The 16,328-nt window shown below is 46.9% G+C and overlaps 1 pseudogene, besides 3 other annotated features; it reads left to right on the forward strand.

Annotated features, from left to right (window-relative positions):
* On the forward strand, positions 1,968 to 4,402 carry PTBP1P (polypyrimidine tract binding protein 1 pseudogene; annotated as a pseudogene).
* Positions 4,653 to 5,221: an enhancer, noted in NCBI's record as "NANOG-H3K27ac hESC enhancer chr14:65748624-65749192 (GRCh37/hg19 assembly coordinates)". NCBI's record gives its function as "activates a minimal SCP1, AML or CMV promoter by ChIP-STARR-seq in naive H9 embryonic stem cells {active_cell/tissue: H9 hESC(naive)}" and the evidence as "EXISTENCE:reporter gene assay evidence [ECO:0000049][PMID:30033119]".
* Positions 4,674 to 4,743: an enhancer, noted in NCBI's record as "active region_8551". NCBI's record gives its function as "activates an Ori minimal core promoter by ATAC-STARR-seq in GM12878 lymphoblastoid cells {active_cell/tissue: GM12878}" and the evidence as "EXISTENCE:reporter gene assay evidence [ECO:0000049][PMID:35858748]".
* Positions 10,141 to 10,380: an enhancer, noted in NCBI's record as "active region_8552". NCBI's record gives its function as "activates an Ori minimal core promoter by ATAC-STARR-seq in GM12878 lymphoblastoid cells {active_cell/tissue: GM12878}" and the evidence as "EXISTENCE:reporter gene assay evidence [ECO:0000049][PMID:35858748]".

A 16,328-nucleotide genomic window follows, 5' to 3' on the forward strand; every position in this document is an offset into this window, starting at 1 on the left:
ACTGTGTCGACAATTTGCACTGATGGTGGGTAAAACTACTGGCATTTTAGCATGAACCAAAGCCTAAGCATCCAACTGTGCTAGTCATCACTGTCACACACTTGCAGGAAAAACGAATGCCAAATTCACTTAAACAAATGCCCTTAGGCTGGGTGCCTTGGCTCACCCCATCATCCCAGCACTTCGGGAGGCCTCAGCCGAGGCCAGAGGATCATTTGAGGCCAGGAGTCTGAGACCCTGCCTCTACTTAAAAAAAAAAAAAAAAAAAAAAAAGAGAGAGAGTGTCTTTGGTGAAGCAGTCAAAATTAATTCTATTAAATATTGACAATTTTCAAAATAATCTGTGTGCTATGGTTTCAGTATGTCCCCTAAAGTTCTTGTGTTGGAAACTTAATCCCCATTGCAACAGTGTTGAGAAGTGGGACTTTTCAGAGGTGATTATGGTCATGAGGGCTCTGCCCTCATCAACGGATTAATGTCATTATCGCAGGAGTGTGTTGCTGATAAAAAGGAGGAACTCGGCCTCCTTTCTCCTCTTGCACATGCAGCTCTCTCGCCCTTCTGCCTTCTGCCATGGGATGACAGAACAAGGAGGCCCTCCCCAGAGGCGGGCCCCTTAACTTCTCAGCCTCCAGAACTGTAAAAAATACATTTCTTTTCTTTATAAATTACCCAGTCAGTGATATTCTGTTATGGAAACACACAACAGACTGAGCCACTGTGTAACAAAATGAGAAGTATGCATAAAGTACTTTTGCTGTGTTCCAAACTATGATAGTTATCTCTAGGAAAAACACTTAGGCGATTATTTGAGTTGTGAGTTGAACAAACCACTTTTTTTCATGGAGCATCTTTTTTTCTTTTTTCTTGAAAGAACAAATGACAAAGAATGCTATTTCAGACTAAGCATTTGGCAGACATTTTCTTAAAAATGAACAAAGGGAGCCTGTCACTTCAAGGAAAACAACTGATAGTATTTGTTGCTGATGATAAAATTTGAGCTTCCAAGCAAAAATTAGAATTTGGAAAAACTTTTGTTTACCACTGTGGAGCTCGACAGCTTCTCAATACATAAGGTTTTTTTAAGGAAATAGATTGGTGATATTAATGACCGTGATTTTTTTCTGATATGGTATAATAAAATGTGTCAACATTTGAAATACCTGCATAATTCAAAGACAAATATTTTCCAATGACCATTGAATGCACTGTATTACAAAATCATGCATGGGTAAAAGATCCATTCTAAGTACACAACAAACCAATGGATTTTAATGTAACAGAACACGAAAAGTTCATTGACATAATTTCAGACTTCACATTGCAACTAACCTTTAAGACACCTGTTTTGGTGTAGTACCAAAAAAGAATATCCACAATTATCTAAGAGGACTATTAAATACTCTTCCCTTTTCCAGCTACATATCTGTGTGAAGCTGGATTTTCTTCACACATTTTGACCAAACCAACATATTGCAATATACTGAATGCAAAAGTAAATATTTGAGAATCCATTCATCTTCCGTTATGCACACATTTTAAAAATTTCAAAATATTTCACAATGCAAAACAATGCCATTTTTCAAAAATGTAAAATAATCTCACTTTTCTTGCTGAAAATTTTGTTTGGAAGATATGATTTTTAAAAATAGAAATTTGGGCCGGGCACGGTGGCCCATGCCTGTAATTCCAGCACTTTGGGAGGCTAAGGCGGGCAAATCACCTGAGGTCAGGAGTTCGAGACCACCCTGGCCAACGTGGAGAAACCCCGTCTCTACTAAAAATACAAAAAATAGCTGGGCATGCGCTTGTAATCCCAGCTACTCAGGAGGCTGAGGCAGGAGAATCGCTTGAACCCAGGAGACAGAGGTTGCAGTGAGCCAAGATCGTGCCACTGCACTCCAGCCTGGGCAACAGAGCGAGACTCCGTCTCAAAAATAAATAAATAAATAAATAAATAATAAAATATTCTGGTGCCTCCACTCCATCCCCCACGGGTCTGCTGTGTGTGCCATGGACGGCATTGTCCCAGATATAGCAGTTGGTACAAAGCGGGGATCTGACGAGCTTTTCTCTGCTTGTGTCACTAACAGACCATTTATCATGAGCAGCAACTCGGCCTCTGCAGCAAATGGACATGGCAGCAAGAAGTTCAAAGGTGACAGCAGAAGCGCCGGTGTCCCCTCCAGAGTGACCCACATCCAGAAGCTCCCATCGACGTCATCGAAGGGGAGGTGATCTCCCTGGAGCTGCCCTTTGGGAAGGTTACTAACCTCCTGATGCTGAAGGGGAAAAACCAGGCCTTCATCAAGATGAGCACGGAGGAGGCTGCCAACACCATGGTGAATTACTACACCTCGGTGACGCCCGTGCTGCGCGGCCAGCCCATCTACATCCAGTTCTCCAACCACAAGGGGCTGAAGACCGACAGCTCTCCCAACCAGGCGCGGGACCCGGCAGCCCTCAGGCCGTGAACTCGGTCCAGTCGGGGAACCTGGCCTGGACTGCCCCGGCGGCAGCCGTAGACGCAGGGATGGCGATGGCCGGGCAGAGCCTGGTGCTCAGGATCATCGTGGAGAACCTCTTCTACCCCACGACCCTGGATGTGCTGCACCAGATTTTCTCCAAGTTCGGCACAGTGAAGACCATCACATTCATCAAGGACAACCAGTTCCAGGCCCTGCTGCAGTACACGGACCCCGAGAACGCCCAGCATACCAAGCTGTCGCTGGATTGGCAGAACACCTACAACGCCTGCCACACGCTGTGCATCGACTTCTCCAAGCTCATCAGCCTCAACGTAAAGTACAACAACGACAAGAGCCGCGACTACCACGCCCGGACCTGCCCTCCGGGGACAGCTAGCCCTCGCTGGACCAGACATGGCCGTGGCCTTCGACCTTTCAGTTCCCAACATCCACGGAGCCCTGGCCCCCCGGCCATCCCCTCGGCGGTGGCGGCAGCTGCAGCGGCAGGCCAGATCGCCATCCTGGGCCTGGCGGGGACAGGAAATTCTGTCTTGCTGGTCAGCGGCCTCAACCCAGAGAGAGTCACACCCCAAAGCCTCTGTTTTTGTTTGTTTGTTTGTTTTAGACGGAGTCTTGCTCTGTTGCCCAGGCTGGAGTGTGATCTCGGCTCATTGCAACCTCTCCCTCCGGGGTTCAAGTGATTCTGCTGCCTCAGCCTCCCGAGTAGCTGGGATTACAACCGCGCCACCACGCCCGACTAATTTTTGTATTTTTAGTAGAGACGGGGTTTCACCATGTTGGTCAGGCTGGTCTCGAACTCCTGACCTCGTGATCCGCCTGCCTCAGCCTCCCAAAGTCCTGGGATTAAAAGCGTGAGCCACCGCGCCCAGCCCCCAAAGCCTCTTTATTCTTTTCAGCGTCTACGGGGACGTGCAGCGCGTGAAGATCCCGTTCAATAAGAAGGAGAACGCTCTGGTTCAGATGGCGGACGGCAACCAGGCCCAGCTGGCCATGAGCCACCTGAACTGGCACAAGCTGCACGGGAAGCCCATCCGCATCTCATCCGTATCACGCCCTTGAAGCACCAGAACGTGCAGCTGCCCCGCGAGGGCCGGGAGGACCAGGGCCTGACCAAGGACTATGGCAACTCGCCCCTGCACCGCTTCAAGAAGCCAGGCTTCAAGAACTTCCAGAACATATTCCCGCCCTCGGCCACCGTGCACCTCTCCAACATCCCGCCCTCAGTATCCGAGGAAGATCTCAAGGTCCTCTCCTCCAGCCATGGGGGCATAGTCATAGGATTCAAGTTCTTCCAGAAGAACCGCAAGATGGCGCTGATCCAAATGCGCTCCGTGGAGGAGGCGGTCCAGACCCCCATTGCCCTACACAACCACGACATCTGGGAGAACCACCACCTGCGGGTCTCCTTCTCCAAGTCCACCATCTATGGGCACAGGCCCACCACAGCCGGGCCCCCTGGCGACAACTTCCATCATTCCAAAAAAAGCGACTTTAAAAAGCAGCTGAAGTGACCTTAACTGACCAGAGATTTTCTTTCTTTCTTTTTTTTTTTTTTTTTTTTTTTTTGAGAAGGCGTCTCGCTCTGTCGCCCAGGCTGGAGTGGAGTGGCGCGATCTCGGCTCACTGCAAGCTCCGCCTCCCAGGTTCACGCCTTTCTCCTGCCTCAGGCTCCCGAGTAGCTGGGGCTACAGGCGCCCACCACCATGCCCAGCTAATTTTTTGTATTTTTAGTAGAGACAGGGTTTCACCGTGTTAGCCAGGATGGTCTCGATCTCCTGACCTCGTGATCCGCCCGCCTCGGCCTCCCAAAGTGCTGGGATTACAGGCATGAGCCACCGAGCCCGGCCTTTCTTTCTTTAAAAAGAAATCAGTTTACCTGTTTTTTTTTTAAATTAAATCTAGTTCACTGTGCTAAAATTAATTAATTTAATTTAATTTAAATAGAAATATGTATATTAACATGTAATGGGTTTATTATTGTGATCTTAAAATTGACAAATATTTTAAATTTTCTGCCACTAACCTACATACATTTTAAGAGTATATACAAGGGTCCTGAGACAAAAAAATTTGAGAACTGCTGTATTACCCCATCTTGCCCTGCAGAACGTGGACTGAAGGGAAGTACTTTTTTCCTTTCTACTTAAATAACCCAGTGCTGTTACTGTTTTATTTTAAAATCCAATCTACCCTCTTCCTCCAGAATTATTAAAAAGTAGACTGCAAAAGAACCATAGCTTCCTGAAATCAAAGGACCCAAAACAAAGAGAAAGCAAAAGCAGTGAATAAAAGGACTTCTCCAGAGACTGGCAGGCCGACCAAAGACCACTCCCCCTCCAGCCAGCCTGGTAGGAGTTGCCTATTCCTTTTTGCTTCGTTGTTCTCACACCCAGTCACCCACTCCCATCCCCTACATCCCAACCCCCATCCTGGAAAGCTATTGTTCTCCAGGGCCTCAAAACACAAAGGGACTTCACAAATCTTTGGGCTGACTCCCCACCCCATCCTCTCTCTGAGATTACAGTGCAGGGAAGGGCACTTTCAGATTCTGCCTGAGCCTCCACCAGCCCCCTGTTCTCAGGCTCGGGGCTGAGATGAAAAGGGAACACCACTGTTTCTGGCCTGAAAAGGAAATGTAAATGCATTGCAAGCCAGAAGCTGCCAGAAGACCATTTCCCTGTTAGTAAACAGGGCTGCCTGAGCCATCTTTCTCCTCTTTAATAACCTGTGGGGCACCTATTGATTGCGCATGCTGGTCCCTCATAAATTAAAACAGGGATGCCTTCCGGTTGCTCTGTAGCTGCGTAGATGGTGAAATTGGCTCACTAATACTTCATGTTCATGGAGCACAGTGTATCCCGCCACATAAACATGAAGAATATGTATCATCAGGCTCTGGGATTGCACGGAAAACAACCCCGGAAGCTTCTGGGCATGCTGCAGACTTTAATTAGGCAGTTTCTTCCACTAGGATTGGAGACCGGCAGAAACACCAATTGCATGCCTCCTGCCGCAGCCTGTTCTGCTTTCAAATGGGAGGAAGGAGCAAGCCCTGGTGGGTAGGAGATGAGCCTGCTCCTCTCTCTACCCCCTTACCAGGATAGGCACCCGTAAGCAGAAAGGAATGTTCATCTCTCATGCTGTGGTAGAGAGAGCACCAAGTTAGCAGTCAGAAAACATTCAGAACTTCTGCTTTAGCCACTTACAGCTACATGATCATGGGCGCAAGTGCCTTAACCTCTCGGAATCACAGCATCTCATCTGGAAAGTGGACAAAGTAATAACACCTAGCTGCTTGTGAGGCTTGAGGAAAATAAGTCTTTCCTGGCGCCCAGTATGGTCTCAGTAAATACTGAAACTGAAATTGAAGCAGATGAAGAACAGAGTGGCAGGTACAGGGCTGATACTATTTCTTTCTCTCACCTCAAAAATCTGGCATCAGGAACTTTCCACCACTACCCCTAGCCAACATTTTGCTCTTTAAGTAAGAAGTGAGGCCCTGCAACTCATACCTTGGTACATTGGAAATGTTTCTCTTACCCTTCCATCTTTCTGTGCCCACTCCTGAGCTGGCTCTCAATTGAAAATTCATTTAGCAGGAAACCTCTCTAAAATGCATGGTAAACATCGAAAAACATGCTAGCATAGTTTACCATTCTACCAAAAATAGCTTGGCACCCACATGCCAACACTTAGCAGAACCTTCCGAGTTTCTCTGACTTTAAACAGACCCTAGGCAACCAGATCCACTTACGCTTCCCAGAGTGTGTAGCATTTCATTAAAGTTTTACTACAGTCCCCTTCCTCTGCCATTGCTAATTAAAATGAACAAGGACAATGTGGAGAGCCATATTTTGCTATTCCTGGAAATATCTGCTGCTCCAGGGAGGGTGTAGGACATTGAATGGTCCCCTCACCCTAAAGGATATGGTCGCATCCTGGAACTCATGGATGGGTCCAGGATGTGATTGGGTGTGAGAAAAATGAAGCAAAAAAGGTCTTGGCAGATGTAAAAATAAAAGATCTTAAAATGAGATGATCCTGGATTACCTGGGTGGGCCCTAAATCCAATGACAAGTGTTTTTGTGTTTTTTGGGGTTTTTTGGTTTTGTTTTTTTTTTTTTAGACAGTGTTTCACTCTTGTTGCCCAAGCTGGAGTGCAATGTCGTGATCTTGGCTCACCGCAACCTCCGCCTCCAGGGTTCAAGCAATTCTCCTGCCTCAGCCTCCTGAATAGCTGGGATTAAAGGCATGTGCCACCACACCTGGCTAATTTTGTATTTTTAGTAGAGATGGGGTTTCTCCATGTTGGTCAGGCTGGTCTTGAAATCCTGACCTCAGGTGATCCACCCGCCTCGGCCTCCCAAAATGCTGGGATTAGAGGCGTGAGCCACCATGCCCAGCCATGACAAGTGTTTTTATAAGAGACAGAAAAGGGTCTGGTGCAGTGGCTCACGCATGTAATCTCAGCAGTTTGGAAGGCCAAGGTGGGAGGATCGCTTGAGACCAGCCCAGGCAACACGGTGAGACCCCATCTCTACAAAGAATTAGCCAGGCACAGTGGCACGCACCTGTGGCCCCAGATACTCAGAAAGCTGAGATGGGAGAATCGCTTGAGCTTCAGAGGTCGAAGCTGAGGTGAACAGTGTTCACACCACTGCACTCCAGCCTGGGCGACAGAGCGAGACCCAGTCTCAAAAACAGACAGACAGAAGAGGAGAAGGCCCAGAGGGGAAGTCCATGTGAACATGGAGGCAGAGGCTGAAGTGATGCAGCCACAGGCCAAGGAACAAAGAAGCCACCAGAAGCTGGAGAGGCCAGGGAGGATCGTCCACTAGAGGCATTGGAAGGAGTGTGGCCCCAACAACACCTTGATTTTGGAGTTCTGGCTCCAAAACTGTGAGAGAATCAATTTCTGGTATTTTAGGCCACCCAGTTTGTGGTCATTTGATTATGTGCAACATACAGAAAAATGTCTGGTAGGATACATTCCATGGCAGATTGCTGGTAGTTGCCCTGTCCATTTTTCCTTCCTTTTTGGTAACAAAAAACCGCCTTTTGCGGGGATGGTCATGTGCTCAGTGAAAGCTTCCCTTCCCCAGCATCTCTTGCAGCGAACTGTGGCCATAAGACTAAGTTTTGACGAAAGAAGTATAAACAAAGAAGCGTAAGAGACTTCTACAAAGTCTCTTTATGGGAGAGTGTTGTGGGTTAAATTGTCTCTCCCCAAAATTTATATATAAAAGTCCTAATCCCTCGTACCTCAGCATGTGACCTTATTTGGAATAGGGCACTCGCAAATGTAATTAGTTAAAATGAGGTCATGAGGGTGGGCCCTAATCCAATATAAATATGTCCTTATATAAAGGGGAAAATTGGACACAGAAACACACACACAGGGAGAATGCCATGTGACGACCGAGGCAGAGATTGGGGTGATGCTTCCACAAGGTAAGGAAACTCAAAGATTTCCAGCCAATCACGAGCAGCTAGGGGAGAGGCATGGGACGGAATTTTCCTTACAGTTCTCAGAAGGAACCAATCCTGCCTGATACATTGATGTTGGACTTCTAGCCTGCAGAATTGTGAGAATTGTGAGACAATAAGTAAATTTTTGTGGTATGAGCTGCTCAATTTGTGGTCCTTTGTCACAGCAGCCCTAGCAAACTAATACAGAGAGATACACCCTTCCACTTTTCCATCTTGCTACCTAGTCCTAATATAGATAAGAGGGATGGTTCTCCATTAGCCATTGTGCTACATGAGGATGGGGGCCACATTCACAGATGGTAGGGCAGGGAGCTAGAAGAAACTTGGGACCCTAAAAACTTCATGGAGGTGCCATATTAGCCCTGGACTGCCTATTCCTTGGCTTATCTTTCTGAAAAATAAATAAAATTAAAGCTTTTGTTATTATTATGTTTTTTGAAACATGTAGTTGAATATAATTTTTTTTTTTTGAGATGGAGTCTCGCTCTGTCACCCAGGCTGAAGTGCAGTGTGCAATCTCGGCTCACTGCAACCTCCACCTCCTAGGTTCAAGCAATTCTCCTGTCTCAGCCTCCCCAGTAGCTGGGATTACAGGCATGCGCCACCACGCCCGGCTATTTTGTATTTTTAGTGGAGACGCAGTTTCACCATATTGGTCAGGCTGGTCTCGAACTCCTGACCTCAGGTAATCCACCTACCTCGGCCTCCCAAAGTGCTGGGATTACAGGCGTGAGCCAGTGTGCCCGGCCAGTTGAATATAATCTTAACCAATACACACACAATTTTGATAAATGAGTTCTTTGGGGAGAGGACTGGGATTGGACTGTCATAGGTAGGAAATGTTTGCTTTACCTGTATGTTTCAAGTTTGATGTCAGGAATGTAGTCGTGTACTCTTTTGTAATTAAAAATAAATCTGTTTTATAATAAATAAAAGGAAAAAAGAGGGATGGGAACCTGTAGATTCAAGAAGACCTAAGAAATATATCAACTATAATGGATGATTGGATGCAGGAAAAAAACAAAAAGAAATATATCAACCAATTGCAATGTATGAGTCTTATTTGGATCTTGATTTAAACCCCAAATTTTTTAAATGTACAAGATAATCGGGGAAATTTTAATATTAATCAGATATTCTATATTAAGGAATTATTGTTTTTATGAATGCTAACAATATTGTAGTGATGTATTTAGAGTGTTCTTCTCTTTTAGACTCTAAAACATGGTTTTCGACCTTGTCACAATTGTTATTTTGAGCCATGTAGTTCTTTGTCGTGAGGCGCTGGCCTGTGCATTGCAGAATGTTTCGTAGCAGCCCTGTTTCTACCCTGTCTTCCAGTAGCTAGATGCTGGGTGCACACCCCCTCCCCCCAACGTTGTAAAAACAAAAAAAGGTCTCCACATATTGCCAAATGTCCCCTAGGGGGCAAAACTGTCCTGGGCTGAGAATAACAGCTCTAAAATTTAGAGATACTGACTGGACTATGTATGGGCGAAATGATTCGATGACTGGATTTTGCTTCAAAATAATCCAGGTGATGGGGAGGGAGGGCGGTGGGTAAAATGTTCCATGATGGAAAGTTTAACATACATTTAAAATTTTTTAAAGAGTCCATTCGGACTTCTCTTTACATCAATATGGGGAACTTAATATTCTTAAATAGTCTCTCACTATAAGACAGGAATATACTGGATAAAATGCAACAGATGTTCACCTCCTCGGTCCAAGATCTTGTCTCATGTCTTCCACAAGAGCATTAAAATCCAAGGATCTAAGTTCCAAGTATGACTGGGCAAGGCAAGCCCTCCCTCCCAACCCTCCCCGCCAGGCATTCTCGGTGCTGCACCCCGGGCATACTCAGCTAGGAGCTGCTCCTACGTCTTCTTCAGTTGCTTGGTAACCCTAACTCCTGAGATGTCCTCTCAGCTCTGCCCCCTGGGCCTCCTCCTTTCCCAGTCCCCAAGCTTAAGCTAGAGGGGGTGTGCTTGGAGCCAGATTCATTAGGGCCATGCCTTGCCCATCCCTGCGAGGGCCCAGACCATGAGCCTCCTCCTCACTGTTTGCAGCTGCTCTCTACAGAGCACTGAGCAGCCCACGCTTTCACCAGGCTCACACCTGCGCCCGTGTTCTCCACCAGCTGCTTCACTCCAGGCCGTGCTCGGGACAGCCGGGCCTTTCTAGGGCCCACGCGCCCCTGGGCGTCTCCGCTGAGACCGACTTTCACGCCCACCTGGTCTTCCCCAAGACATGGAGCCTTCAAAGGTTTCATCAGAATTCCCTCAGGATGTGGGTTTTGAGTTGTCATCCGAGCCCATCAGGGGCCAGAGTGTAGGTGGGCCCAGGGGCCTCTGAGCTGGAGGCTAATGGGGCTTGAAAGGCCTCTGAGCGGAGCCAGGAACCCGCCCTCTGGGGGCCTGGGAGCCGGGCTGCGCGCTCAGGTCCCAACACGAGGTCTGAGGCGCTCTCTGCTTGCTTCAGGGGCCGCAGAGGGAGGCTGACCATAGCTGCGACACCCCCTCAGTGCTGGACACCGGGCAGGAAGCCTCTCTTGCACCGACTAGACCAGAAGGGCAGACATTTTCCCGACAAGGAAGGGAAGCAAGATTGAGTAAGATAAGCCCGGTTATTTTTATGCAGACATTGTTCCAACCACAACGACTGTTTTCGAAGGTGGGTGGTATTTGTTTGGTGGAAGGATCTTTGAGGTAAGAGGCAGCAGGGTGCTTCAGCACCACCACTTCCTTTACTTTTCTGAGTGTTCCCTTATCAAGCCACCAGTTTGGGTTCTGCTCCATTTTTCTGTCTGGTAAAGAAGTAGAATGAGGTGAAATCTGGCTACCTACTTCCCCTGGGGGGACGGTCATGGCTGCTGGTGAGTTTCAAGTGATTTGAGAACTGTTGGTATACTTAAGTGAGGAGCTCTTTCCCTCCCCTTCATAGAAATGGAATAATGTGCAGGTTCCTAACGGGACTTAGGAGTCGGAGAGCCCTGGGTTCAAATCCCAGAGCCTCCATATTTTGGTTGTGTGAAAAAAAACAGTAGGCAAGGTAGTCAACATGTCTGTGCCTCACCTTCCCCATACATAAAGCCTACTTTTTCATAAGGTTGTTGTGTGGGTATTAAGTCTCAGTAGATGCCTACTTGAAATATTTGGGGGGACAGCTGTGGCCAGGCGCGGTGGCTTATGCCTGTAATCCCAGCACTTTGAGAGGCCGAGGCAGGAGGATCACCTGAGCCCAGGAGTTTGAGACCATCCTGGGCAACATGGTGAAACCCCATCTCTACGAAAAATACAAAAAATTAGCTGGGTGCAGTGATGTTTGCCTGTGGTTCCAGCTACTCTGAAGGCTGAGGAGGGAGGATCACTTGAGCCCAGAAGACAGAGGTTGCCGTGAGCGCCATGACACTCCAGCCTGGGCAACAGAGTCAGACCCCCATCTCAAAAAATAATAATAATAATAATAATGTGGCTGTGCCTATGATCACAGGCGTTATAAACAATAGCTGCAACGTATTGAAAGCCTGCTCTCAGAGATAAAGACTCTTTCCATCCCCAGGCCCTGTTGTCAAGCAACTAAGTAGATTCAGAGAAGGAAGAGAGCTGACTGGCAAAGAGGGAGCAATGGAGAGCCATTTAAGATGTTGGGGCAAGAAAGTCATTTAAATGATCAATTATAGGCACAACGTGACTAATACTATTTGAGGGCGGAGGCCTATTGAGTTCTTAGAGGTGTTTGGGGTTAGGGCTCACCAAAAATGGTGCTCCTAGCCTTTGATTGTGGACACTTGTTTTTGCCTGCCCACCATCCCTCCTCCATCCTGAATATGAAGTGTTCCTTTGGGAACCACCCATCTTCCACTCTCTGTCCATGTAGTTCAAGTGAGGTTGACCTCAGTCCCTGACTCCAGGGGTGGGTGTATGACCCAGGACCGACTAACTGCAGTCATAATAAGTGGTTGAGGAGTAATCCCTTTGTCCAGAGTGAGCCGATGAGAGTCAGCATTAGGACTTCTGCTGAAAGAGGCACCCTTTCTCCACTGGGGTTGCAAAGCTGAGGGGATGTAAGCCATCTTTACCACTGCATGAGTAGAGTCTGCTGGAGAGTAAGGACAACAGAGATAAAAAGCAAATCCAAGAGAAAGATAGATTTCTTGTTGCCCTTGCTGAGCACCTGGAGCTAGCCATTCCTGAAGATGTCAAATATCTATCTATGTGGGCTAACATATATCACCTTCTGAAAGATACTTGAACTGAGTTTCTGTTAGTGGCAACTAAAGGAGTTGTGACTAATTCATCTTTCTATTTATTTTTTATTTTGATGAAAAATTTTCAATTGTTACATTATGGCATAAAAACAGAACTCTGACGTGTTTGACAACATACTTTTGACAGTTTTATCTATTTCTGACAAGGACATGCTGGGAAGTTGTGGGAACATATCTCCTGTGTCCGTCCCCCTCCTTTCGAAGTATATTTTTATTCAGAGATACATAAATGTATGCTAATGATCTTATGATGATGATGATCAGAACTGTGCTCCAAGAAGATTATAGCAACCATGAGTAGGATTAGAGTAGGGAGAGACAAGGGGCAAAAATACCCCTCAGGAAGCCAATATAATAATTCAAATGGTAAGTAGGAAGGATTGTCTCAAGGTGGTAGCTGCAGAAATGGGAAAGAGAGAGGTGGGATCATTGTGGTTTGGCAACAAATTAAAGGGTAAATGAGTGAAAATAAAATGCTTTTATCTACAAGGCCCTACAGAAACTGATTTTCCCCCACCCCTGTTTTATCCCTGATTTATTTCTCATCATTCTTTCCCTGGCCTGGTCTGCCCAGCTACATTGGTCTTTGCATTTACTGTGCCCTCTGCTTGGGACACTCTTACTCCAGAGGTCCCTGGCTCATGTTTTCACTTCCTCAGACCTCTGCCTCACATCAAAAGGATTCCCTTCATTCCCCATCTATTATTGCATCCCCCACCCTAAGCATTCCTTGTATTTGCTTATTAATTTTTCCCCGGGCTGGGCAAAAATTAATTCTAGCACTTTGGTAGCTCCATGCAGGTGGGTCACCTGAACTCAGGAGTTCAAGTCCAGCCTTGAGGCCCAAAGGCAGAGACTGCAGTGAACTGAGATCACACCATCTATTCCAGCCTGGGTGACAGAACAAGAGCCTGTCTCAAAAAAGAAACTTTAAGGAAATATTTTTTTTTTCTTTTTTGAGCGGCGTGTCGCTTTTTTGCGCAGGCTGGAGTACGGTGGCGCGATCTCAGCTCGCTGCAATCTCCAGCTCCTGGGTTCAAGCAATTCTCCTGCCTCAGCCTCCCGAGTAGCTGGGATTACAGGTGTGTGCCACCACACCTGGCTAATTTTTGTATTTTTAATAGAGATGGGGTTTCACCATGTTGGCCAGGCTGGTCTCGAACTCCTGACCTCAAGTGATCCACCCGCCTCAGCCTCCCAAAGTGCTGGGATTATAGATGTGAGCCACTGCACTTGGCCATAAAAATTTTTGAAAAATAATGTTGCTCCACAGTACTTAACTCTCTCTCTGTCTCTCTCTCTCTCTCTCTCTCTCTCTCTCTCTCTCTCTCTATATATATATATATTTTTTTTTTTTTTTTTTCTGTCTCTCTTGACTAAAATGCAAGTTCCGTGAGGGCTCCATGACTCTTGCTCACTGCTGAGTCCCCAGCACCTAGGAACCTGGCACAGAGGAGGTATTCAATGAATATGAGTCAATATTACAAATCTTGAACAACTGAAACAATGCTGTGGCATTGACAAATGCGGAAATACAGGGAAGATGAGTGGGAGCAGGGTTGGTGGGGTGGAGGCGTGAGAGGGTGACTCATTTAGAACCCATGGGATTTGAGGTTAGCTGTGTAAATGACAATAAAGCCTGATGGTTGAAATGCTGGCCTGGTGCTCAGGAGCAGCCAGAGGTGAGGGTCTGTTGGGGAATTATGCATCAAAAGTTGGTGAAAGCTGTGGAGTCAGTGAAATCTCTGGGAAGACCATGGGAAAAGAGAGAGGTGAGAACCGAGGACGAAGTCCCAGAAGTCCTAAGATGACCTACCTATTTTTTTTTCCAGGACTTTACTGGCTTAAAAACTAAAAGTCCAGGCCAGGAGTGGTGGCTCACACCTGTAAACTCAGCACTTTGGGAGGCTAAGGTGGGTGGATCACCCGAGCCCAGGAGTTTCAGAGCAGCCTGGCCAACATGGCTAAACCCTGCCTCTACTAAAAATACAAAAATTAGCCAGGCGTGGTGGCGCGTGCCTGTAGACCCAGTTAATTGGGAGACTGAGACATAAGAATCTCTCAAATCCAGGAGGCAGAGATTGCAGTGAGCCGAGATCCCATGACTGCACTCCAGCCTGGGTGACAGAGCAAGACTGTTTCAAAAAACAAAAACAAACAAACAAAAAACTAAAAGTCCACATCTTGGGAACCCCCTTGGTCCCAGGCAAACTGAAATGGTCGGTCAACCTAAGAAGGTGGAAGAATGGGGAAGTGCCAGGTGGAGGAAACAGAGGCCAGCAGCCCAGAGCTTCCTCCCAGAACCCAAGGAAGGGAGGGCTTAGGAGGACAGGGCTCCTTCCTTTTCCTGCCCAAGACCAGTTTGGTTCTGACCTTCTAAGCCCAGCAAGGCTGAATTACCTCTGAGTTCCTGACCCTCACGCTTCCCAGCAACACTGGATAGCTTCCTGATAAGCCCGGTAACTGGTTTGGTTCCAGGGCTTGGTCCCCAGCTCCAATCAACTGGAGAAAGTATGAACCCTTAAATTTTCGGTCAAGGGGGCTTTGGTGGTACCCTGGCTCAGGAGTTCTCAGTTGGTGATCGTTGTCTGCTTGTCCTAAGATGGAGCTTAAGAGTGTAAGTGACTCTGCAGCCACTGTGGCTAAGGAAACAGGAAGCTGCCTCTCCTCTTGTAAACAATGCAGGCCAAGATTAGCGGTACTTGTAAGGTGCCAGCTCTTACAAGTGGGCACTGAATTGTGCTCACCACTAAATTTCAAATAAGATTATTGCTGGATGTGTAGAAACTAAAAAGAGACTGGGTGTGGTGGCTCACGCCTGTAATCCCAACACTTTGGGAGGCCGAGGTGGGCAGATCACAAGGTCAGGAGTTCAAGACCAGCCTGGCCAATATGGTGAAACCCCATCTCTACTAAAAATAGAAAAATTAGTTGGGCGTGGTGCTGGGCGCCTGTAGTCCCAGCTACTCGGGAGGCTGCGGCAGGAGAATCGCTTGAACCGGGAAGCAGAGGTTGCAGTGAGCCAAGATCACGCCACTGTACTCCAGCCTGGGCGACAGAGCAAGACTCTGTATCAAAAAAAAAAAAAAAAAAAAGAAAAGAAAAGAAACAAGAAACACAAAAGAACTCAAAGGAACATTTCCAACTTCTTTTTAACTTGGCAGTACAGTGACCTAAACCAGGTATGTGGAGCCTTGATTACTATAAAGAGCAAATAAGACAAAAATTAGAAAATATCTTGTACATTTTAAATAATGCTGCAAATATAAGGTCCTGTCACTGAGTCTTGTTTGAAATAAAAGAACTATCAATATTTGATCAATAGAAAACATGGTGCTTGTCCTTAGAGAGCTTTATGGTTTACCTGCAGAGGCTCATAAGAATTTAGCTATATTTACTCAGCAATATATAAGGGAATAGAAATAAATATTGTGTCAACTCCCTGACTGTCACCCCTTCTCAGTTCCCTAACCCACAACACACATATCTTCCTTCCTTTCTTTTTTTTTTTTTAAACAGGGTCTTGCTCTGTCACCCAGGCTGGGGTGTAGTGGCACCATCATAGGTCATTGCAGTCTCAACCTCCAGGGCTCAAGTGATTCTCCCACCTCAGCCTTCCAAGTAGCTGAGACCATAGGTGTATGCCACCACACCCAGTTAACTTTTTTATTTTTTGTAGAGATGGGGGTCTCGCTCTGTTGCCCAGGCTGGTCTTGAACTCTTGGACTCAAGCAATCCTCCCTGTAAACCCAGCACTTTGGGCCTCCAAAAGTGCTGGGATTACAGGTGTGAGCCACCACACCCAGCCATATCCACCTTTCTAATGAGCATGGACAAAGATGCCCTAATTCATTCAGACCAGAAGGTGATGGGGAACGTTTCCAGTCACCTTTCTTTACCCACAGACCTATTCTGGGAAGAAAGGATCAAGAATGGCTGGGCGCAGTGGCTCACACCTGTAATCCCAGCACTTTGGGAGGCCGAGGCGGGCAGATCACAAGGTCAGGAGTTTGAGACCAGCCTGACCAATATGGTGAAACCCCGTCTCTACTAAAAACACAAAAATTAGCCAGGCATGG

This window comes from Homo sapiens, chromosome 14 (assembly GCF_000001405.40).
Source record: "Homo sapiens chromosome 14, GRCh38.p14 Primary Assembly".
Lineage (NCBI taxonomy): Eukaryota > Metazoa > Chordata > Mammalia > Primates > Hominidae > Homo > Homo sapiens.